The sequence below is a fragment of the Homo sapiens genome, chromosome 2, assembly GCF_000001405.40.
Source record: "Homo sapiens chromosome 2, GRCh38.p14 Primary Assembly".
NCBI classification, from domain to species: Eukaryota; Metazoa; Chordata; class Mammalia; order Primates; family Hominidae; genus Homo; species Homo sapiens.
Genome location: NC_000002.12, coordinates 182,227,488 through 182,253,865, shown reverse-complemented (window position 1 = coordinate 182,253,865; position 26,378 = coordinate 182,227,488). Strand labels below are relative to the sequence as shown.

The following is a 26,378-nucleotide window of genomic DNA, read 5'->3' as shown; positions in this document are numbered from 1 at the left end:
TTAAGGCATAAAGAAAGTAATTGACTTGCTTAGGATTATATAATTATTAAGCATCAGAGACAAGTTCAAACTTAAATGGAATATATCAAACATCTATTTTTCTCTTTTTTCCTAGCCAACAGAGCCCATTTTTTCCCTAATTATTTACTCCCTTTTTTAAGGCCAAGTGATTCAGGGGACACCAACATCAGCCCCAGGCTCAGGATGGATGACTCCTAACTGATATTAACCAGTTATTGTTCTCCAGTTCACTAATCAGTGAGTTTAGGCTTGGACATGTGATATGATTCTGGCCAATGAGAATTGCATAAATGGCAGAATGAAGGGGGGTGTTGGCAGAAGGTTTCCTCTTCATAGGAAGGGTGTCATGCTTCTGGGTGGTGTATCTACATCTGATACTTACAGTGAATACAGCCATCTTGCTTCAAGCAGAAAGCTAAACCTAATACTAAAGTTGTTCATGTAGAAAGACAAAGGAAACCTTAGTCCTTGGTGATATCATTGACTTCCTGATTTTAAAAAATCCCTTACTGGAGTCAACTTACTTTTAACTGTTTTTAAGGAAATCAATCAATTTCTACATTATTTGAGCCACTTTCATTTAGGTTTGATGTCACCTGTCATTGACAGCATTCTTACAGCCAGGTAGGTTGGACTTGCTCCAAATTCATGTTCTTCATCTCTAATCCTTCCCAGGAGTCACTTTACCCTAACAATAAATCCTAATGCAAATGTTTGATTTCTAAGTTAACCACTAATAATTCATAATCTAGTTTCCCATGAAATGAGGTAATAGGTTAAGTTTCCAAGGTAACCCTCAAAACACTGATCCCATCATAAAGTCGAACAACATAGGTGTTTCTTGAGCAAGTATCAAGTACTAGAAATGAGGGACTTACATTTTTCTACATACAAAGATGTTTGTACATTCTTTACTATATTTATATAGCCTACTTCCCAATATATTTTTCTTCTGTCTACTCTCCATCTCTTTTATCTCATTTCCATCCCCATCAGTCTAGCTGGAGTCACCATTATCTGTGAGGCTGTCTCAGGCCTATCTGTGTAGACACACATTAGTCAGTTCCACACAGGGACCTTGCCGTCCTGCAGGCTCCACCCAGGAGTAGGGGCTGGGGATAGGGTGGGGCATTCAGCTGGCTTCTGCTGCAGGATCCTGGAAACTTATCTGGGGCATGCTCCCACCCTTCTCACAGTTTGTCTTGGATTAGAGGTCAGGCAGGATCCAGTGTTCCTTCTCAAGATCTCTCCTGCCTTCCTTTCTGACTACTCTTCGTTAATCTGGGGTATCTTTGGACAATCACAGGAATGGAAACTTTACTCTGGAAACTTTACTCTGACTTATCACATATTCTTCTATTATCTTTTCCTGGGTCTCTCTTCCTTCCATGGGACATGGATTTTTCCCTCCTTCAGGTAGGTTATTGTGTGTCATTTACAACTTGAGTCAGTGAGTGAATTCATGGCTGACCATATATACAAAGAGTTACAGGATCACAGAAAATACTTTTTAAATTGTTTTTTTAAACATTTTTACACATGAAAAATATCTTTTTCTACATTAAACAGGATGTGACTAAAAACATTGACATATACAACATATGCATCAAAATAAGCAAATAAAAATGACTTTATTCTTCATCTGGGCTAATACCTAACTAGTGCAAATACTTGAATATTTTAAAAATCCCTAAAACCAGAGACCCTATGCCTATGTTTTCTATACTTTTATTCATTTATTCAACAAATATTTGTGAAGGACACACTATATACACTGATACTTATTTTGCTATTCTGTTTGGCTACCGTTACCTCCCAGTTGTCATCATCCCTACTATTTTGGCCTCATGGGTGTAGAAAGAAATATATTCCTTATCTCCCCTTACACTCTTGTCTTCCAAATATACCCCTGCTCTACTAAGGACACATTCTCCACCCATGGTCTGTTGAAAATTGACTTTTTTAGTTCTCAGTCAAGTAACATACAGATAATTCCCATTTGTAACATCATTATAAAAGATTCATTAATTAAAATACTTTCATGGGGACTCTTCTGACTGTTCCTCCCGATATAATTCACCAACATGCCTCATCACTGACGGTGAAATAATGTGCATAAGGAAATAAGCAGTGCCATTCAGCACATGTCATAGAAAATAAGTAAATCGTATTTTCTTGGTATAGAGCTTCCATTAATTGGCAAGCTGTGAATGAAGGAGAACAGTGTTCTCAAACCTTAGTAGTCATTGAAATCACCTGAAGGGCTTGTTAAACCAGGGTGCTGGGCCTCACTCCCAGACTTTCTGATTCAATAGGTCTTACAGCATGGGAACTTTCATTTCTAACAAGTTCCCAGGTGATGCTAATTCTTCTGGTCTAGTGACAACAATTTGAAACTACTCTTCTAGATGATGTCACAATGAGACCATACACAAAAAAAGAGAAACAGAGAGACCATTAGAAATTTGGTGGTTAGAAATTTAAGGTCTTATCAAGACTATGCCCCAAGTGTTGTTCCAAGTTGTAAATGAGATAACTTTGTGCTAAAATGCCCCAATTCCAACCTTTTTTTGTACTGATAAAGGAACTAAGTCTCACGCGGATGAAATATTTCTTCCAAAACTACACAGCCAATAGGTGATGAAGCCAGGAGTTTGACTCCAGAGGCAGTCTTTCTAACTACACAGGATGCTTATTAATCAAAATTTGTTAATCAGTGGAGCATTAGGCTCTATGCCTAATGGAATATTTTCAAAAATGTTTTTGAGCCAAGAGGATTTCCTGGTGGGAAGCCAAGAGTCATCAGCAAGGCTTTGGGCAGTTTTCTGCCTCACCCATTAATCCCAATTCCATCCCCAAATGACTCCAAAAATACAATCTTGATCCCAGCTCTCCAAGCAATTTGACTCTTTCTCAGGCCCTTCCCCTCAACATTCTTTGGGTCCTTTCTGCCTCTCCTGGAGGACAGGACCTCCACTGCCTCCACCTTTGCTTCCTAGATTGGATATGGAGGAGGCACCAAGCACTCCGTAGGTCTTACCTTGGAGAAAGCCACATCTAACTTCAACATTATCCTTACTTGACCTCATTTACGCCAAGATTTGCCTTTTGGGAATTGAGCTAAGGTCGGCATAACTGACTTCTCCACCCAAAAGTTCAGTCTTCATAGTCACTCATGTACAATGGTCATCTTCTCACAGTTAAAAAAAAAAGTTGGGTCGAGGAGAGGCTAACAATACCAGAGGAACATTGAACAAATCTATCAGGAAACTTTTTTTTAAAAAAAAGCTATTGAGATAAATTGGTAAGCTTGCCATTTTAAATACTTTTTGGAACAAAACAGGGAATAAATAAACATGCTTCAGTGGTGGCCTGAAAGAAATAATTCAAATGTATTTAGCACTTAGTAAGTAGGTTACTGACAAGTAGATATGGCATTTCAAATGTATTACCTATTTCCATCCTGACATTTAATTTATTGTACTTCAAAGTGTCCTGAAATTTTGTCATCCAGATATATTTCTCTATGAGAAAACAATTCAACATACTAGCACTGGAAATTAAATTCAAGCTTCCTCCAACTAAAGATTTCCTGACAGATCAAGACAGATCAAACTCCTTTAAGACTTTTTAAGATCAATTCTTTTTAACCATAAGTTTCAAGGCAGAGAGGAGATAGAGAAAATGATTACTGGCATTAGCATTGACCGAATGTGAAGGCAGTCTGGGTACTCAGTATGAAAAAAATGCGTTTAAAGTGGAGGATAACTTATCAATCAGTAACTCAGACCCTGAAACCAGACATACATGACCAAAAAATGTGACATGGACACTCCTGGTTGAATGACTTTGCACAAATCACTCAAGACATCTGTGCCTCAGTCTATTTATCAGTAAAATAGAAGTATCAATAATAATTAGATCTTTCTCATGGTGGTATTATGAGGATTAAATAAGCTAAAGCTTGGTTTCTTGCCTGGTTCTTAGTAAGAAAGCAATAAAGCAGCTGGCATTATCATCTATATCGATCCTCAAACAGTTCTGAAGCCTGAGTGAAGGATTGGTGTTACCTTTAGAGTTTTGGTTTGTTTTCTGTTTTTTTTGGGGGGGGGGTTGGGGGGTAAGGGTGAAGAAGGGTACAAGCAGCTCAGAACGCAGACATAGGTTAATCAAAGAGATAATACTAATGGACTCTCCTAGGAGGAAACCACTTACTCCAACAAGAGTATTCCTACTATGGAAAGATGAACCACCCTTAATTCCTCCATCTGTCCTGGAAGATATTCGCAACATATGAGTTCAGTACCACCTTTAGCCCCAGGCCAGTGAAGCTGCTTCCCAGGGCATGATTCCCCACTTCAGGGGGCCTGACAAGGGCTCTCTTTGGTGTTCCTCTCCCCATGGTTTGCCCCGCAAGACCAAGAAGAACCTGAAGCTCATGGCCCTCTTCCCCCTCCAGATACTGTAGGACCCTGGAATTCCCTGCTCTTCCCAGTATGTTCCTTTACCTTATTTTGGGCAGAAGACCCCAGCATTCTCTACCCAAAGGTCCCCAAGCCTGTCTCCTACATCTTACTGGGCTTTCTTATTAGGTCTTTCCTCTCAAGGGACCCAGGACGCTATTGGTGTTTGTACCCTTTCAAACCAAGGAGTGGCCAAGAAGCAGCTCCTTTCAAAGCTAGGTAGGTTGATGGAGACTGTACTTGGGGGCTGAGGTTTCCACCTGTGGTGCAGAGTGGAGCTGCAGGTTGCTGGCCCAGCGCTGTCACACAAGGAGCTGAGAACTTTCAGTTCACCCAACTTGTCTGTCTTTTATGAAACTTATTAAAAGGTAGAAGGATAGAACATATAGCAGTTTAGTCACCTGATATATAACTTTAAAATACTTAGTTAAATGGTATTTGGATGAAATATGCTCCTACCCTGAGCCCATGAAATGTTAGGGGAAAGAACTGAATGAGTTCGTTGCTGCGTGAAACATGTCCTTTATAAGAATAGTAAAGCAGGAAAGGAACATTTCAAACTTGAGAAACCAGTATCTCCTAACTGCACCTAGCACTTGAATTTTAGCACTTAGAAGGTGTAATTGCGGGTACCAATTGCCCAGAAATAACCACATCAGTACATGAATGTAATCATTTTCCAAGAGTCCACTGTGGACAGAAATATTTTCACTGACATATGATTGTAAGAGTCAAAATCCCATGACCTCTCCTTCCGTGGCCGCCTCCTTCTTTACTTCCCTTCCCTGCAAACTTTTTAGTTCAAAATATAAGCCCTTTGGGAGTTATGTCATCTGATTTCAAGAGAAAATTATGATTATAAATAGCTCCGAAGGATTAGTTGAGTCACAGATTGGATGCAGGGTCAGTTTTCACAGTTCACCGGCTGCCATCTGCACCCAGGTCGTGTTTAGAAACCCTTGACTTTATGCTTTATTGACTCCACTGGGACAAAAACTAAAGTATCAAACACCAGTGGGAGCATTTTTCAGAGGTAAACAGTGGTAACATTTTACACATATATTCCTTATCGTTTCTTTTTCTGTATAGCACGTTTTAAGAATTGCTTTTTTCTTTTTTTTTTTTTTTTGACAGTCTTGCTCTTGTGGCCCAGGCTGGAGTGCAGTGGTGTGATCTTGGCTCACTGTAACCTCTGGTTCTGGGTTCAAGTGATTCTCCTGTCTCAGCCTCCCCAGTAGCTGAGATTGCAAGCATGCACCACCACACCCAGCTAAATTTTTGTATCTGTAGTAGAGAAAAGGTTTCACCATGTTGGCCAGGCTGGTCTTGACACATTTTAAGAATTCCTAAGGAAAATGTACCAGTCATCATTTTTTCACGTTGTATGTTTCTTAAAAACAAAGTCTTCATTTTTAAAAAGCATTTACAATGTAAATGATTATGCACACTCTGCCCTTTAACATTAGAATAAAGAGCAATGAAGCTATTAGATGTTTGTAAAACAAAATTAACTATGATAGTTGAGATCCTATTTTATCATCCTCCTTGCACAAATTTCTTTCAAAAATGAAATGAGGACAAAATATATGTTTTACATGTGGCATAATCTTATACAAGTATTCAGATATTTTCATGTCTTAGATAAATGTATAGGAAAATTCTTTATAATAATTATCTGCCGGTGAAAAAGTACAGGATGACAATGACTAGTCCATATTACATTATAGTTTTTGTTCCTGCACTGTCTAGCGTGGTCAGATGAAACTTGAGGAGCTGCTCATGTTGATCAGACGGAAGAAGACACAGAGTACAAGGCGGGTACGAGGGAAAGGGAAAATGAATAAGTAAGAAGAGGTAAATGGAGGGGAGTAGGGAGAAATATGTCTTTAGGTTTATTAGTTTATTTTCAAAATTTATTCAAATTTAGGTTTGATCTACCTGTTTTTCAACTTTCTTCTCTCCAAACTGGAATAACCATCTTAATGAACCTGTGAACACTTACTTATGTCTTCATTAGAAGTTTCTTACTCTTCTCTATGTGATAAATGAGCATAAAAGAGCTAATATTTGACAGAAATACTGAGTTTCTTGGCTAAAGGCATATAAACAATGCATACTTTTTTTAAGTTTTCTTTCCTGTGACTTTAAAATGCTATCAAAAATGTTTAGTTTTTTTTTTCTACACCAAATATATATGTTTCCCCACAATTTGTTTCAATAATATGCAACATGATTATTCAGGAACAACTTAATCTAAAGGCAATGAAGGAGATGATTGGCAGCAGTGAATTTGCTCCCAAGATGTTGTTGCTGCATAAGCAGCAATAAATTTGATTATATCAATCAAATTGCACAGGAGTATACATTAAAACTTCTACCATTTCCATCCTTACTCCACTCATGAAGGTAATCAGTTACAATTAGTCTAATGTAAATATTTCTAGACACTTTATAGCCATTCAGTGGATATATATTGACCCCCTGCTCTGTGTCACACATGATTTTAGAAGCTGATGATACAGCAGTGTACAACAGAAGGCCAACTCTTTGCTCTCCAGGTCTTTGCAGCCCAGGCTGCTAGACTGTAAGCATAAAATGAACAAACCAACCAGTGGACATATGGTATGGCATCTAGTAGTGGTCAGTGCTAAGAAGATTATAACAGGGTAAGGCTGGGCATGGTGGCTCACACCTGTATACAATCCCAGCATTTTGGGAGGCTGAGGCAGGCAGATCACTTGAGGTCAAGAGTTTGAGACCAGCCTGGCCAACATGGCGAAACCCAACCCTGTCTCTACTAAAAATACAAAAAATTAGCTGGGTGTGGTGGCACGCCTGTAATCCCAGCAACTTGGGAGGCTGAGGCAGGAGAATCGCTTGAACATGGGAGGCAGAGGCTGCAGTGAGCCGAGATCATGCCACTGCACTACAGCCTGAGCGACGGAGCAAGACTCTGTCAAAAAAAAAAAAAAAAAAGAAAGAAAAAAGAAAAAAGACTATAGTAGAATAAAAAGACAAAATAAAAATGAAAAATGCTTACTATTGGGGGCAGGCACAGGGATGCCCTCTCTACCTAAATGCAGTAAGGAAATGATTCACACAAATATCTGAGTACAAGATTCTAAGTAGAGTGAATAGCAAGTACACAGGCCCTGAGGCAAAAGCAAGCTTGGCAGCTTTGCATCCAGCAAGGCTAGTGTCACTGGAGCAAAATGAATAAAGGGGAACTGGTTAAAAGGTGAGGTTGGAGACTTAGCTTGAGATGACTTATGTGGAGCTTTATGAATAAGGCATTGTGGTCTGACTTAAACTTTAAAAGAGGCATTCTGGCTGTAGAGGGAAGAAGAGACTGACAGGGGTCAGGAGCAAGAGGGGGAGGCCAGTTAGCAGGCTGCACAGGAGGCCAGGCAAGAGATGATGGCAGCTTGGCCTCTGGCTCATTCGTTACAGGTGGGAATACAAAATGGTATAGCAAGAAAGTTTAGCAGTTTTTGCAAAACTAAACACTTATGATACCATCCAGCCATTGTGTTCCTTGGCATTTACTCAAATGAGTTGAAAAAAGCTGTACCTGTTTATAGGAGCTTTATTCATAATTGTCAAACCTTGGAGCAATCAAGATGTCCTTCAATAGTAGAATGCATAGACTATCTATGCACACAATAGAATATTATTTAGCAATATAAAGAAATTAGCTATCAAGCCATGAAAAGACATGGAGAAAAATGCATATTACCAAGTGGAATAAGCCAATATTAAAAAGTCTAGCCTTTTACTATATGATACTAAGTATCTGATGGTCTGGAAAAGGCCAAACTAAGGAGACAGCAAAAAGATAGTGGTTGTCAGGGACCAGAGGTGAGGGAAGGAAGGAAGGTTGAATAGATGAAGTATAGGGATTTTTTTTAGGGCAGTGGAACTACCCTGTATGATACTGTAATGGTAGACATATGTCATTATACATTTATCAAAACCCATAGAATGTACAACAGAAAGTGTGAGTCCTCATAGAAACTATGGATGTTAATTAATAATTATGTATTAACATTGGCTCATCAACTGAAATAACTGTACCACAATAATACCAGATGTCAGTAATATGGGAACTGTGAAGGTGGGGGTGGAGATGAGATGAATGGGAATTCTCTGTACTATACACTCGATTTTTCTGTAAGCCTAAAAAATAAAGTCTAAATGAAGAAGGTGCCTGAGATTGTGGCTTTCAGGCAGGGATAGCATAGTACAGAGTTCTCTAGGTAATCATGCTTATTCAAAAAGGAAAAATTAAAAACTTCTTGAGGAGAATAAAAAGGTCAAGTTAAGTTGGCTGGCTTTGGAGGCTTCCCCCATTTCACACACTGGAGTAGCAGAGATGCATGCATAGGCAGATGAAGCTCTCAAAGGCCATTGTTGTAACTGGGCTGTAGAGCAGAGAAAAATCTTTGAGAAACAGACCTGCAGCTACTATTTCTGTCAGCTGAAGAGAAAGTTAAGTCAGTTCTTGCACACAGAGACATACAACTGAACTCATACCCAGATTCACTTCTTTTCTGCTGTACACATTCTCCTGGTCCCTCTCTTCAACCTTCTGATTTGGAAAGAAGTTCTCTCATACAAGAATGAACAATTTTCAAAAAGAAACCAACATGGAATCCATATAAAAAAATACCACAAGAACAAAGGTGGAAAAGATAGGGAAAAACACATGACAAAGAACCCATGCCAGAGGAATGTACAAATCTGTGAGCTCATCCTATGAACTCAAGAACTTAATGAAATCATCAATTCTGTAGAAAAAATAATACAATTAAAACAAAGAAAAAGGTTTCAAGAGGTAAATAATATGATAATACAAGGAGGTGAAACATGGGTACACATAACTCAGTCAGCAAATGGAGGAGGAAAATGAGGCTACCCTGTAGAGACAGCCAAGCCATAAGCCACAAAACTTAAAAGAGACATAACTGAAAACACAGTAGAGTGTTTGACAAATAAAATACTTTAAAGTTTTTTTAAAAAAAGAAAAAGGTAAACAAAACAGGATAAGATCAAGACATTAATTTTTCAAAAAAAGTTTAGTGGAAAAATGATAGATATGGAAACTAGATAAAAGAGATCTCTGATAGGCATAATCCATTTCCCTGAAGAAGAGAACCAAACAAATGGAACAGAAAAAAATGTATAGTCTGAGAAAACATTAATAATATACCATTAAGGCCGGGCGTTGTGGCTCACTCCTGTAATCCCAGCACTTTGGGAGGCCAAGGCGGGCGGATCACCTGAGGTCGGGAGTTCGAGACCAGCCTGACCAACATGGAGAAACCCCGTCTCTACTAAAAATACAAAATTAGCCAGGCGTGGTGGCACGTGCCTGTAATCCCAGCTACTCAGGAGGCTGAGGCAGGAGAATCGCTTGAACCCGGGAGGCAGAGGTTGTGGTGAGCCGAGATCGCACCATTGCACTCCAGCCTGGGCATCAAGAGCGAAACTCCATCTCAAAAATAATAATAATAAGTCAATAAAATAATATACCATTAAGACTTTGAGCCATATGTTTATAGGACAAAATGATACCCAACTCAATACCAATTACGGTCTTTGAAAAGTAGTGAACTTCCAAAATAAAAGACCATTTTTGCAATTGTGCTCAGTTAACTAAACTAACTAAACTCAAAACACCATTCTTACAACTTTGTCTATTCCTCTCACAGCATGCACATTGGTCTTTTAGATACATAAATCATATCACATCCTGCTTAAAATAATTCAATGACCTGCCATTGCAAATATGACAGAATCCTTCCAAGGCCTGATATTAGCTTACTTATACCTATGTTTGCCTCCCAACTTGGGTCACTCTCTCTCTCAGTCAGTATACTCCAGCCACATTTGGCCTCCTTCCTGTTCCTCAAACATGCCAATACTGATCATGCCTCGGGCCTTTGTACTTGCCCTTCTTTCTATCTGGAATAGATAGAACAGACTTCCCCCAGACTTTCCTATAACTAATACTTCCTCATTGTTCGGGTCTTAACTATCTGATCATCTTATCTAACATAGTGTTTCCTCTCATAATTAACCTTATATCATAATTCTTATTTTATTTTTAGTCTTTCTTTTAAAATATAAGTTCTACCTGATAAGGGATCATTCTCATTTTTTCAATTTTTAATCACTTCATTTAGTTTGACAATAATTCTGTAATGTTTAAACAGTATGGTGTTTAGATTTATAATTGCTAAAAAGGCATTTTATTTCATTGCAAATAGGATTTTTACATGAGAAATAGGACTGGTATGTTCTATTAAATGAATATTAATAGAGAACTGAGTCTTTATATTCTATTTTATTTATAACCTACACTGGTAGTTATCACGCAGCATTCATAAATGATGGAAAGATGATTTCTTATCCAAACCAACAGCTACACAACACACACACACACATACACACACGAGAGAGAGAGAGAGAGAGAGAGAGAGGGAGAGAGAGAGAGAGGGAGGAGAGGAGAGAGGAGAGAGAGAGCGAGATACGTATTTTAAGGAATGGGCTCATGTGATTATTGGTGCTGGCAAGTCTGAAATTTGCAAAGCAAACTGGCAGGCTGGAAACCCTGGCAGGAGTCATTGTTGCAGTCTTGATTTCAAAGGCGTTCTGGAAGCTGAATTCCTTTCTCTTTGGGGGACCTTAATCTTCTTTCTTAAGGTTTTCAACTGATTAGATGAGGCTTACCCATAATTTAGAGGGTAATCTGCTTTATTCAAAGTCTACTGATTTAAATGTTAATCACATCTAAAAAATACTTTCACAGCGACATTTAAATTGGTGTTTGACCAAACGACTGGCCACCATAACCTACCTATGGTGACACATAAAATTAAACCTCACGGAGGTAGTTGTTGCCTTTTCAAGATTCCCTTTTCAAGTTACACAATAGCATATTCCATGCTCTTCCCTTAACACACTGTCGTCCTTTATTTGTGTGTCCCTAATTAATCCGTATCATTATTTCTCCCTAAAATTATATGCACTTTCTTCTCAGTAGATGACCTCATGCATCACGACTAAGGATTTCCAGCCTCCTAAGTACCACTCTACTATGTGGAATATCCCTTCCATATGCTGGTTTTGTCATGTTTGGTGAGCTCTCTTGGATCATTTATGAGTATAGGACATATAGCCTTAAAGCCATCAACATGAAATTTACTGTGGAGGAATTGGCACCATCAGCCAGGTTTCTGTCATTCTAAGGAGATTAGCTGACAAAACTAGGCTGCAGTGGAATGCTTGGAGCATGGTGACATCACAAGATTACACCACAATGATTCCTATTCCACTTGTTCTACCTACACTGTATCTGATCACTGCATAAGAGATAGTAGAAATGGCATTATCTTTAAAGTAGTGATATTTTCAAGCCATGAAGTTTAGTGACTTGCTGAAATGGGCTAGGGAATCTAATTTCAAATGGGCAAAAAGATAAACAAACTATTTTGCTTTAATTTTCTAGTTCAGTGTTTTAGGGGTAAATCAAAACCATCCAAATGTCAGATCAGAAAGAAAGTTAAAAATCATATAGAGTAAGTATTAATCAGTATTAACATTCAACTCTAAATATTTTTTATCGTTATATGTATACACGTATCTTTGTGACTCCAGAACTTATGTTTATTTTTTATAAGGTATTTCATAAATACATTCATGCTTATTTAATACCATGGAAAATAAATATTGGCAAATGACTTTTCTGCAGGTTTATAGGAAACAGCAGCATATGTGAGAGGTCATTTAAAGGAACATGAAGAGTTCCTCTCCTGCATATTACCTTTTGAGCCTCTCTTTAGTCAGATTGAGTTCTTTGTGGAGACCTCCTGTTTTTTGTCCTTTGTTTTGTCCCTGCTTTTTGAGATGGCCCCTGCCTTGTTTCTGAGGCATTAGCATGTACAACCATCTCTGGCCACCTTCCAACATTAGCTCATAATCGTTAGGCCTAGGTCTGGGCAAAGAGATTTTCAAAAGCAGATGAAACCCAAAGGTTGAAGCTAACATGTGCCAGAGTTTTTAGATTGGTGCACAGATAAGGAAAGAACCAAGTCAAATGGCAGGCAGAGCTGGCCTGTGTTCTTCCTAGAGGCAAAGTTCAACTGTTCTGTAAGCTGTTTCTGTATTTGGTGGGGAGCCTCTGGGATGTTGCCAGTTCAGACCTCTAGGAAGTTCTTGACTGCCGAAGCTGACTGGCCTTAAAATAACGATGTTTCCTTAGTTTCCTCTTTAATGGCAGCTGTTATTACTCAGCAGTCCAGTCAATTTTATCTACCTGGAGCTTATACAGAGCGTGGTCATTGTTTCAGTTCCTATTCACTACCTCACTCACTGGGTTGATTTCCTCAGCCAGCAGCTCTAAACCCATGAGAGCTCCACCCCGTGGTCACCTGAAATGCGCTTTAAACATAATCTATTTGATATCATGTGTTTTCATTTTTTTTTTCACTTTTAAAATCTGTGACATTGATAGAATGGATATCGTTGGGAGCACTTAAGTGGTTATTTTCCTAAAATTTAGAGGTACTTATCCAATGAAGTAGCATCTGTGAATGACTTTTATAAATTGCAAAGCCTAATTCAAATAGCATGTACTATACTTAAGATACACACAAGATTATTAAGTATATGACAACTATTATAGATTCAATCCCCCTTTTTTCTTCCCACTCCAGTTACTTCCTTTAATAGCAGACATCTGTTTATGAATTCACTTCCCTATCTTTCCTTAGTTTTATTCATTATTAGAATAGCACACTAAAGATATTAACAGTCGGTACCTCTAGACTGGTGTATCATTGTGCTGAAATGTTTGGGAAGCTGCAAATGCTCAAGTCTATTCGTTGTTGTCTTCATATGATCAATTTGAGAAATTAAGAGCTTTCCAAATGTTAATGAATTTTTTTTCTTTCTTTAGAGAGTACATATTAAGGAATAATCAGAGAGTGATTGGCTATATTTTAAATCCCATTGCAATCCTTGTTTTTCTGTTATATGTTTTTCTTCACTTTTTTATAAAAAAGTTTAATCTGTATAAATTTTTGTAGAAGACTTCTGGATACTGAAGATGAGCTCAGTGACATTCAGACTGACTCAGTCCCATCTGAAGTCCGGGACTGGTTGGCTTCTACCTTTACACGGAAAATGGGGATGACAAAAAAGAAACCTGAGGAAAAACCAAAATTTCGGAGCATTGTGCATGCTGTTCAAGCTGGAATTTTTGTGGAAAGGTAAGTGAAATTGTTGGTATCTCAAGACAGTAACATTTGAAAGGCAGCAGATACATTCATTTTTTCAAGGGTATGAGCAGTCTATATTTCACTTATTGACGAAAACTGTGATCATAATGATAACTAGAATGAACAAATTTGGGACTTTATGATGAACTTACCTATAACAAAAACACCTGGTCCCGGATGCATTCTTTTTATTTATTTTAAGTTGACATGAAGACTGAAAGCAAAGATTTTTGAATGACCTTTCTCCTCAAATGAACCTTTGTGAACAACTGTTTAAAAACAATTCTGACACATGTATATGTTACACAACTAATTTTACCTGAATAAAATGTAACATTTCATGAAATACATTCTACACTGGGTAGCAATCTACATGTCAAGATCACTTAGGCCTTCCTCTGCCCTAAAGACAGAAGACCATTTGCTTCCCTTCTTTCCATAATGGAGGAAATCTCTCTCATGCTCACTTTTGATAGGTTATTTTTTTTTTTCAACATTTCTGTCACTGAAGCAAGGGATATTTGATGGCCCCTAGAAACGCCTAGTTATATCATCAGAGTTTTCAATGTGAAACACATGCTAATATGACCCAATTTTACATTCTTTCAGCCCTTAAGAATACAGCTTATTTTTTCCATCTAGGAAACAAGATATTTCCTAGAACTAAAACTACAAAAGACTCGCCAAAATAGACATTTTATGTTTGACAGAATTGAAAAGTAGTTATCAGAAATCCCTTAGATTAAAAAATAATTACATGAAATTATATGTGGAATGATTATTTGAATATTTTAGAAACTAATAAAGTTGAGAAACAGAGAAAAATTTTGCCAATATGCCTAAAATTAAATTTTAGAGAAACTGCATTATTTCTCATCTTCTGATATCTCTAGGCATTACCGTTAATCAATATTACAAACTTGAATTTTTTTCTGCTAAAGGGACAGTGGAAAACACATTTGAATTTCTAAAAGTGTAAATGAGAATGCATGGCAACAAATATAAAGCTTAAAGATGGTTAAATACACTGTGCAATTTAAAGAAGATGACTTTTCTCTAGCATCAAATTAAAAATATCTAAATAGTACATCAGAAAATCTGTGAGAGAATCACAGATGAAACATGAGAGTATGTTTGATTTGCTAAAGAAATGTATATTTTGTCTTCTTTGTTTAAAAAAATATTACAGAACTTGGCAAACTGGGAAAAAATGTAAACTGTGGAGGAAGATCAACTGATTTTCCATTTCCATTCAAGAGAAGGTTATAATATATAAAATATCTGAATATGCTAAATTTCAATTTTTTCATATGTTACATAAAACACATTTAGTAGCCTATAAAAGTATAAAATTGTTCTTCAGGTAACTAAATTAGTAAGCAGTCTTTAAGAAATCAATGTGCTAAGAACATATAGAAATAAAGTCTTTTTTAAATCACTGTTGAATCCCCACTAGTAGGTGCATAAAAATAGTGGGACAAGTTTATTGGAAATTTTCAAAAGTAATCATCTTCAATCCTGACAGCTGAAAGTCTACTTGAAGTCTTGTTGCTTCTTCCTTTAAACGCTTCCTCCCAAGATTCAATTCCCTGGCAAGCCCTGGCAATTACTTACCCAAATGCATTCTGAATCCACTCACTTCCTCATCTCCACTCCTGCAACCACAATCTAAGCCTCCACTATCTGCCTTCAGAAATACGACAGTAACTTTCTAACTGGGCTCCTCTCCTCCTAACTTGACCACCCCAACCAAGCCATTCCACAGTGATGTTTTTAGGATATAAATTAGTTCCTGTCATTCTTTTCTTTTTCTTTTTCTTTTTTTTTTTTTTTTGACGTAGTCTGGCTCTGTCACCCAGGTTGGGGTGCAGTGGCGCGATCTCGGCTCCCTGCAAGCTCCGCCTCCCGGGTTCAAGTGATTCTCCTGCCTCAGCCTCCCGAGTAGCTGGGACTACAGGCACCCGCAACCCTGCCTGGCTAATTTTTTTGCATTTTTAGTAGAGACGGGGTTTCAGCGTGTTAGCCAGAATGGTCTTGATCTCCTGACCTCGTGATCCACCCACCTAGGCCTCCCGAAGTGCTGGGATTACAGGCGTGAGCCACCGTGCCCAGCCTAGTTCCTGTCATTCTTAAGCTTCAAACCACCAGAAGGTTTCCCAATTCACTTGAGCCTGGTTAGGTCCCTTTCTGCTTTCTAGCCTCATCTACTGCAACCTTCATCCTTGACTGAACACCTATACCAGCCTGATTTCAATTTCAAGAACATTTCTAAGCTCTTTCCTGCCTTGGAGCCATTCATCCTGTTATTTTCTCTGTCAGAAGTGGTTCTCCCCACCCTTCAACATGGCGGGCTGGCCCTTTTACCGTTCCAGAGGTCTTCCCGGATCACTCTATGCTGTTCCTCACTATTGCTGCCCCCAGCCAGTGGTTTACCTCCTAGCACTTATCCCTGTTTGTAATCATATATTGTATCTTATTTTTCATTTCTCCTCACCACTGGAATAAGCCCTGTGAAATAGCAACAATATTTCCCTTGCCTTCCACTAAATAAGTCTGTTGCCTTGCAGAGTGCCTGGTATAAATAGTGTTGTTTTTTGTTTGTGTGTTTGTTTTGTTTTTCTTTGAGACGGAGTCTGGCTCTGTCACCCAGGCTGGAGTGCAGTGGCTTGATCTCCGTTTACTGCAACCTCCGCCTCCCGAGTTCAAGAGATTCTCCTGCTGGGATTACAGGCGCATGCCACCACGCACGGCTAATTGTTTTTTGTATTTTTAGTAGAGACAGGGTTTCCCATGTTGGCCAGGCTAGTCTCGAACTCCTGATCTCAGGTGATTCACCCGCCTCGGCCTCCCAAAGTTCTGGGATTACAGGCGTGAGTCACTGCGCCCGTCCTTAAAATAGTATTTTTAAAGAGTTTTTGAATTATATCTTGTAACTATTATGGAAACTTCCACAAATAATCCACTACATTTCCAGTTAGACTTTCACCACCTTTAGGAGCCCAGGAAATTCACTATCATTTTTCAGAAACTTGTAATATATCACCTGTTTACTAAAGTGTGAGACAACTGGGTTAAGATATCTCCGATGCTCATTCTAATTCAAGGATGAGTCACCTTAATTTTCCATCTTAGTGTTCTATTTCTAATTTTCCATCCTAGAATTCTATTCCTGATTATAGAATTAGAAAAGTATGATAATGGGAAAGTTTTGCTATCTCTTTGGAAGGGTAATCCTCTTTGTCTTCCTTTACATTCCATGTAATGAGAAAGTATATTGGTATTCATTTCTCAACCTATCCCAAGTTTAAGAAACTCAGTAGCATCAGAGGTCCCATTGAGGCCAGAGAGCTCTAAAGACATAAGATTTTGAACCAATGATATTGGCTGCAAAGTAATGAGAACAGTTAAAATAATAATAAAAATGATGGCTTACTTGTACTGAGAATCATTTACACAAAAAGCTTATAATTATTCTCATTTTACAAATGAATGACATTAAATAGTTTCCAAAGGTCACACAGCAGTGAGTGGCTAACATGTGATTCAAAGCATGTGTTCTCTTTGCCTTTCTGTGCCATGAAGTCAAGTCGAGCTAACGTTAATTAACATTTTAAAATTTCTTAATCCTGAATGATTTTTATATTGACGCTTTTGCCTGTTCATCATCCTTCCATTTCCCCTGCACCTCCATTTTTTTAGTATTAATAGTAATGACTAGAAACAGATGGAAAAGACTGTTTCCAAAAAAAAAAAACACCTGAGTATCACTGTTGATAGTAATTATTCTAGATCTTGTATAGTATGATTAGTAGTTTCCTTGCTTTGCAAGATTAGAATAATTATACCTATATCAATGGAGTAATTAATATAAGTATTTTTAGTTTTAACTGTTCTAAAATCTTTCAATAGAGATATAGGATAATTTCTTATTCTACCTAATCACCCACATCCAAAAATAATTTATGACTATTTAAAATAAACGTAAAGTGGAAGCATGAAAGTGTTGTGCTTAAGGTCTCTAGAATAAAATGGAGAGCTACTTCATCAAGAAAGCCTAGGCTAGAGATGTAATTAAACACAGTATTTTCATTCTGAACTTCCAACTAGTCAAGACTTAAAAGGAAAACATGATAAATTGCTTAGCTTTGATTATCTTTAACAAATGATGGCTTTTACATAGAAACTGAGTAATATGTCCCATGCATTTTTAACATAAGGAACATTGAATCAAAAAATTTAGTATCTTCTATAGCGGTTTTATAAAAGACGTAGAATATTGTCCATGTGACCATTTCTTACATCGACCATATTTATCGTTATATTTAATTAAGCTATGGCATTGTCCAGGCCTTTTGTAGGGAGAATTTACAGCCATGTAGCCTAGAAATTCAGCTCGTTGTGGACTAACTTGATATAAAAATTAAGGGACATGATTAATCTCAATTGTATTCTTTCTTCCCAGGCCTTGGAGGAGGAAACATGTTTCTTTCAGAGTCCCGAATAGAAGCACTATTACTATATCACATGCTAGGCTATCATATTGATTCTTTTCTCACATGAATTCATGGAGGGGGTTCTTATATTTGGTTTATGCTATTTGGGTTGCCCAGCAGAAGATAGAAAAAAATCAAATCACTGATTATTAAAAACAGTTTTGTTGGCTGGGCGTGGTGGCTCATGCCTGTAATTCCAGTACTTTGAGAGGCCAATGTGGGCGGATCACGAGGTTAGGAGTTTGAGACCAGCCTGACCAACATGGTGAAACCCTGTCTCTACTGAAAATACAAAAATTAGTTGGGCATGGTGGCGCATGCCTGTAATCCCAGCTACTCAGGAGGCTGAGGCAGGAGAATCACTTGAACCCGGGAGGCGGAGCTTGCATTGAGCACAGATCACACCACTGCACTCCAGCTTGGGCAACAGAGCGAGACTCTGTCTCAAAAAGAAAAAGAAACACAAAACAAAAACAAAAACAAAAAACCACTTTTGTTATTGATACTATTATGGAAATGAAAATAACATTGTTTTCTTTCTGAATAACTTTCTTAATATTGAATGACAATTTGAACAAACTTAAACAATTTTTGCTAGTATGATTTCCCCAATATCATTAAATAAAAGAAGGGGGACCTATGTAAATTCTGATGATACTACATATCCCCCTCTATAATTTTAATATAAAAATATAAAGGAAATATTTTAATGACATTTAGCTTCCAGACTAAAAATTTTGGCATATAAATGGACATAAAACAAGAATGTTCTGCTGTCAGGGATATGGTGGCATGTTAGAAAGTTGTTGCATATGCAAAGTGTAGTGCATCTTTTAATATGATCAAGTTCAGGGAAGGATATCTTTACATGGAAACTAAAGTCACATTAATTTTGCAGGGTGATTGTGAATAGAGAATATATTACATTGTCACATTGTAGATGTTTAGTAAAAAGGTGACTATAGTTATCATTATTGACACAAAGGGAGTCTGTAACTAATGATAAGAGGTGAACATGTCAAAAGTAATCTTTTCCCTGATATTTAAGAAATAGTTGAAAACTTTGAATAAATGAATTTTATATTTACACTTATTTTTGTCTTTTTTAGAATGTACCGAAAAACATATCATATGGTTGGTTTGGCATATCCAGCAGCTGTCATCGTAACATTAAAGGTGACATAATTTCATTATTTTCGTGTATAAAATGGTCATTTTAAAAAATTCTCTTAAAAAGGCTATGAGAAAATGAGAATAGGTCTTTACTGCAGCCTACATCTTAGAACGTTAAAAAATTCAACATATCCTAACAATTTAAAAAATGAACTGTGTTCCAAATCATGACTCACTGTAGATTCAAATGACTGATTTACACAAACTATATCAACATATATATATGCATGTTTGTATGCACACACACGTGTGTTTTTTTTCTTAATTTTATTTATGTGGATCTTGAATTCATTTTGAAATGGCACTAGTACTTGTCAAAATGTACATATTTTGTTATGAATATATTATGGAAGAGTTAAATGCATGTTATAAAAAGATATTTTAGTCAATGATGTTTAAATGACAAAACATACAGAAGGAAATTATTTAGGATTGTAGGTCTGAAAAAATACAAAATGTAAGATAAAATTAAGAAAGAAAAAACACTTCTCTCTCTTGTCTTTGGCTTCTCCTGTGGCTACACTATTCTAAGGCCCAATTGCAGCGCTACATATGTTAGAAATAATCAGAGTTGAAACTCTGAAGTGAGTAAAGTTATTGGCTCACATACTTGCCTCATTGTGTGTGTGTGTGTGTGTGTGTGTGTGTGTGTGTGTGTGGTGTTCATGTGCCTTGTTTCTAAATGTTATTTCTACAGAGGCATTTTGTAGGCTCATCCTTCTAAACTTGTTTCGATTGCCTAATTTAATTTAACATTGTCTCCTAAAACATCTGCATATTGGTTTTTCTACATTAACCAAGAATTTAAAGGATATTGGCAGCAGCAGATCCTGGGTTGATTTATTTCTGACTTATTGTACTCCTTTTTAATTTTAAATTTGTGTTTTTAAAAATTTTAAGCATCTTCTTTGCAATTGTTTTTTCTCTGCTGCATATTAGATTTTAATCTCATTAATGTTAAAAGATAGCTCATTTTTCTTTGGTGCTTTTTTTATATTTATGTTTCTCTGCCTCCTGTCAGATCAGAGGGGACACTAGATTTTGATAGGAGCGCAAACCCTATTGTGAAATGTGCGTGTGAGGGTTGTGCACTGCTGATGAGGTGGAACAGTTTCATTCCAAAACCATCCAACCCCAACTCAGTCTGTAGAAAAATTTTCTTCCACACAACTAGTCCCTGGTGCCAAAATATTGAGGACCATTGCATTAAAGGATATTAATCATTCCTCGGTTCTTGAGAGATTTTGCCTTCTCTATTATTTCCTTAACAATGAGCAAGAAAATTACTCATTTTTATTTTATTTATTTTAAGAATTTTTGCTTAAAAACCAACTAACAAAATATTTTAGTATGAGAGAATGTAGTATTTTTTCTAAAGTGTTGTATAGTAAAAAAGATATAAACTAACAGGTTGAGAGAGGGAATATCACCAAGTAAAGAATGTTTTAGTTAAATAATTCTTATTTTCTGAGAAGCCTCCTTGTCCTGTTTGTTCTCAATCTGATGACATAAAAGCCAAGCATCTGCAGTAGTTTAGAAATGTAAATCATCAGGGTTTATAAAAAATTCTCAAGAAATAAAGAATTAACCTTTTACTCAGTGGGAACCCCCAAGTTGGAACTGTAAATATAAATAGCAACCTTCTAAGAGTCTGAACTAACTCTTGTTTGTTAGCTTTGGAGTTTGATAAAAGATTTATTGACCTCCTTTGAGATTTACTGATGTAAAATGCCTTCTAACAGAACTTATAATAACTTTTAATATATAAAGAGATAAAGCAAGCATTTGGGGATCAAATAAGGGCCAAATGCAAGGAATTTAATAACGACATACAAGCAAACCAAAAACTGTTTCATTGGTGCTTGTTTCCAAGTGATTAAAAATACCATTTGAAGCTCTTACTATTATTTTTTGAAGGAAGTATTTTTAAAAGAGACTGAATACTTTTTATCAGATTTTTAGTTTGGTTCTAGCATATTATAGCACATAGAGTTGGCCTCCAGAAAAATGTGTTGAATGAAATTTGAAACGTGCCTACTCAAATAGAAAATTAACGCATAGCTTTATGGTTGCCCACTTACTGTTCAATACTAAACCTACTGTATGTGTATAAACAGTAGGCCTTCCTGCTAGCAGTTTCTGATAACCATTAGAATGGACTACAGTGCTTCTATAGATTTTCAAAGCAAAATCATGAGGTGGCTGGAGTGGTTTATATCCCTGCTCACTCTCCTCTCTCTCTGTTAGGGGGTACTTTCCAGTTTCCCTACTGGCCTGCTTGCTTCCCTAGGGAACTGCATGAAATGCGAGTATTACTATCCTCCTCCTCAATCAAAAGGCCCACTTCCTTTTCCTCACCACTTGTCCCTCAAGCAAAGTATTAGTAAATCAGCCAAAGATAGAGCAAATAATAATAGTTGAAAAGTAGTGTAAAAAATACCTTTTAATAATTAAAGATAGTGTATACTCTATCTCGCTATGATATTTACATATTTTTCTATCTTTCTTTCTTTCTTTTTGGAGATGGAGTCTCACTCTGTCACCCAGGCTGGAGTGCAGTAGTGCGATCTTGGCTCACTGCAACCTCTGCCTCCTGGGTTCAAGCGATTCTCCTGCCTCAGCCTCCTGATTAGCTGGGATTACAGGCGTGCACCACCACACCTGGCTAATTTTTGTATTTTTTTGTAGAGATGGGGTTTCACTATGTTGGTCAGGCTGGCCTCGAACTCCTGACCTCGTGATTGGCCCATTTCAGCCTCCCAAAGTGCTGGGATTACAGGCATGAGCCACCACACCAGGCCGATATTTACATCTTAAAACAGGACATAAATATCAAAACTTTAGCCAAACTGCAAACTCTTATGGTGAAATTTCAAGCAATGTAGCAAGTGAGTAAGAAAGAAAAACCGGGACTATTTTTTCTGTATTTCCCAATTGACATCATCTATGTAACTAGCAATTCTACCCTAAATTGAGGTCCACTCTGAGAAAATGATTTATGGCAGGAAGTTGGAGAGAGATTAAAGATAATGGCAGTATTATGGTATTATCAAATGTATTAAATCACTTTAGTAACTTTGGGATTAAAGAAAAGGTTTTGATGCTTTATAAAGCATTATGGCCTCAATTTTGTGGACCCATGGATACTAAGTGGTCCTGTCCTATGAAACTCTGGTCAAAGTGTAGTTTGACATGCTAAATTGAAAGATGACCTGCTAAATGTACAATGCCTTATCTTTTGAATAAATTCTCGTAGAAACAGTATGATATTGGCACCTAAAGTATTTATTCTTTTTTCTACAGGATGTTGATAAATGGTCTTTCGATGTATTTGCCCTAAATGAAGCAAGTGGAGAGCATAGTCTGAAGTTTATGATTTATGAACTGTTTACCAGATATGATCTTATCAACCGTTTCAAGGTCAGAAACATGGAACAAAAGTGAAATGCTCTTAGAATTGGTTATTTGAGTAAGAATGAAAATGCAGAACATTTGAGTAATTAAGCAATTCATTTTAGGATGTTTTAGTTAGCAGGTCACAGAATTAAGGTGATGAGGTCTTTATATGATAGAACCATTCTCCACAAGTCACTGACACATCTATATATCCACCTAGAGATCATGAGGCCACTATAGCCTCATTCCAGCAAGATGCCAATATCCCCTGACTTATTCACAAAACACTCACATAGGGTTTGGCAGCTATGTCTTAAAGAAATATGACTACTCCAGCATTCCTAAAATACAGAATGAACCTTTATTGCCAGCTTTTCTTAAATTAGAATGAAGGGGTTTCTAATTAACTTCATTTAGAACCATCCAAGCAATAGATTTGATACAGACTACTGAGCAGATTGTAGCTTATTACTTTCATCATTTCCTGTAGAATCATCACATTTTTAGAGCTATAAAGTACTGAGAGATAATCTATTTTAACCTCTTTGTATTAAGATAGAAAAACTAGACTCCACTAATTGTAACTGGAAATATTTACCCTTCTACGAATTAGCCTTCCTACTCTCCGGAAGATACTAAAATTTCAAGCCTATAGTACAAGTAAGGCTATTATTTAATCTGTCCTAGTCAAATACTTGGGGGTTACAATCTTTCTTTTTGGGAATGAAAGTTAACATGTTCATGAAGTGGTTTTTCAGAACAATCAACATTTGACATAAAGAAACTACTGTCCACATCTGACTCACTAATATGTTCCATGACAAACAGTGCTCAGGTTGATTTAGTACCACTTTTTTGGTCAAAATATAATTATAATTATTACTTTCCACAGATTCCTGTTTCTTGCCTAATCACCTTTGCAGAAGCTTTAGAAGTTGGTTACAGCAAGTACAAAAATCCATATCACAATTTGATTCATGCAGCTGATGTCACTCAAACTGTGCATTACATAATGCTTCATACAGGTATCATGGTAAGACAGTCTTTGTAACTGAGGTTTGTTAGTTTGGAAGCATTCCAAACTTCCATTCCTATAAGTTTCTATTGTCTCTTTAATGCCCATAGAGGTATTCTAAGTAATAAGTATTATAAAGAATAATTGTTTGGATTTTTGAAGCTTAATGTGTTATAATACACATTTTTCAAAAAATACTTTAAGTCAGTGCAAAAAAGATAACCAGAGGCAAAAAAAAAAAAAGTTTCCCAAAATTTGGACTACCAAACATTTTTGTTTGTAAATTCCTTTATTCTGCAGGAGTCAACCAAAAAAAGTGACCTAGAGAAAAAGTCTTTAGAAAGAAAGTTATAGCACTCTTTTTCTCATTCCTTATGTGCTCCTAACCTGACCTTAGTCGCTTTTGCTCTCTTACTCATATTACTAATCACAGTCAAATTCTAATAGGGATTTGGGGAAATTATTAATGTCAATTTTTGCAAAATTTCCTTCCTCTTCTTTGCATTTGATGAATCAGTGAATGGGTGACTAAACGATTCAGTGATGCAAAGCCTGAAATAACAGTGAGTGTATGACAGGAACTCTGAGAGAGTTGGGAATTTTTGTAATGTCTTAGAACTCAGGATGATTCCCAGAAGGTAAAAAGTGAGGAACTGACCTTCCTGTGAAGGTGCAAAACTGAGCTGGGTTCAAAAAAGGAGCAGGCCATGTGAGATTTCTAAATCCTAGCACCTGCTTTAATCGTGAAGTGCAGTGAGAAAATGCCATTTCAGCCTAGGAGGCAACCAGAATTTCATCATTTAAAAAAAAATTCCTGCTTGAATGCATTTTTTTTACACTTGCTACAAGTGTAAAGGGAGCCAAATAAAAGTCTACTATATCAGCTTCACCTGGTGTGAAGGTGACATTGAAGAGATGTGGGTGTCATATTAATTGGTAAATAGAGAAAATCAAATCCACAATGTGGTTTTACCCTCAGAATTATAAGGAAGACTGTTATGGGACCAAATAAGCCGTTCCAACTTCTCTGTAAGACTAGGGAATTTGGCCCAGCCTCGCATGACTCCTAGAAAGTTAAAGTTGTTAGCAAAGATCACATAGTCACTTTCTGAGACAGCTATGACTTACCAAATATAAATGTAACTTTCTGATTTTATTCATCCTTTAGCAAAAATGTGTCACTGGCCTCTTTACTCATCCATTAATTTAACCATTACAAAAATAGTCTGGTGGTAGACCTTTAGTGTTTTCCAGAACCAAGAAAATACCTTTGAACTAAAGAGAATAATGAGAACTTTTACCATAGATGGAGAAAGGGAAGACAACATGAGTTTATGAATGTATTGACTATTTTGTCTAAACTAGGTTACACTGTCAGCTTGACAATTTTTGGAAAGTTATTTTAACAAGTTTTCTCTACATTAAAAAGTAGTGATAGGTGACTATTAAATTTCATGTATATGAATGTGTTGGTTCTTTGAAACAAAAAAGCTTTATAGAAATTTTCATTAGGAAAAAATCTTTAGTTCTTTCTCACCCCTCAGATTTGATATAAAGAAGACTGGGCCATCTACTTTAGTGTTTTAGTTGATGCCCTGCTATTTCAGGGTGGCCCTATCAGTGTGACATTTATGAAGCACTCTAGTAGCAGCCCAGTACTGTCAGGAGACTAATGCATGTTGTCATCTGCAAGATGTTTTAAGGACCATTCCTGAAAGGGATTGCAATTAAGCCATTGTCCTTCTGTTTGTTAATGTCATAAGGGACGCCCTCAAGTCTGGATGTAGACAATGCCGAGGAGAGTTGATGCTCATACACCTGCTTGTCCCCCTATCTCTCTCCTTTTGTCACTTGATACATTTGTAGTCCTGTGCCATGGTGACAGTGATGCACAGTAACTCAGTCCATTTGCTAAGGAGCAAATGTTTTATAAAGTGCTGTCAAGTCACCTTCAAATGTCTCTTTGAACATGGAATTATACAAGGGCCTTGGCCAGAAAACATTTGCATTAGAGGGCTCCTGGCACTGCGTTCTCTCTAATACTAAGAGTAGAAGGAGGAGAGATGACTGTAAATCTAGTTCCTTTGGAATTTTTAGTGCACTGACTACACAGAAACAGTCTTCCACACTTTGGAATGACTGCATTTTTCTCTGATCAGTCTACAGAACATTTAGTACTATATCTTTCTACAAATTATGTGGAAATTCTGTTCTTATAAATGGCTTCCAATATGATACTGTTTGGAAGAGGAAAGAGAGCATGGACTCAGGAAGCAGTCAGACACGAGTTTAAAACCATGCCCCACCACTTTCTAATTCACTAGCTCTACATTGCTTCCCTTGTCACTAAAATGCAGTTAATAATACCAGCCACCTTATAGAATGGCAATGAGGAGTAAATAAAACATTTGCAAGGCACCTAACCTAGTGCCTAAAACATAATAGCTATTAACATACCTTAATTAATTAATTGTAATATGCCAATTTTCTATACTGGTAACTTACAGCAAACTTCTTCAGCCTATTCAAAGGAATA

General features: G+C 37.0%; 1 protein-coding gene across 25 annotated transcripts in view; it reads left to right on the top strand.

Annotated features, from left to right (window-relative positions):
* Nucleotides 1–26,378, top strand: part of PDE1A (phosphodiesterase 1A) — a 576,757-nt gene that overhangs the window by 462,932 nt on the left and 87,447 nt on the right. For 22 of the 25 annotated variants that reach the window (XR_007076388.1, XM_047444688.1, NM_001395258.2 and 19 more), the window contains 4 exons: nucleotides 13,574–13,756; nucleotides 19,368–19,434; nucleotides 22,735–22,851; nucleotides 23,720–23,860. Coding sequence is in view for 24 of the 25 variants with exons in the window: in XM_047444688.1 (XP_047300644.1) it covers nucleotides 13,574–13,756; nucleotides 19,368–19,434; nucleotides 22,735–22,851; nucleotides 23,720–23,860 (508 nt within the window). In the remaining variant the exon portion in view is untranslated. Of the gene's footprint in view, nucleotides 1–11,819; nucleotides 12,065–13,573; nucleotides 13,757–19,367; nucleotides 19,435–22,734; nucleotides 22,852–23,719; nucleotides 23,861–26,378 lie in introns of those variants that run through there. The other 3 variants (NM_001258314.3, XM_011511326.3, NM_001395269.1) reach the window with 1 other exon arrangement.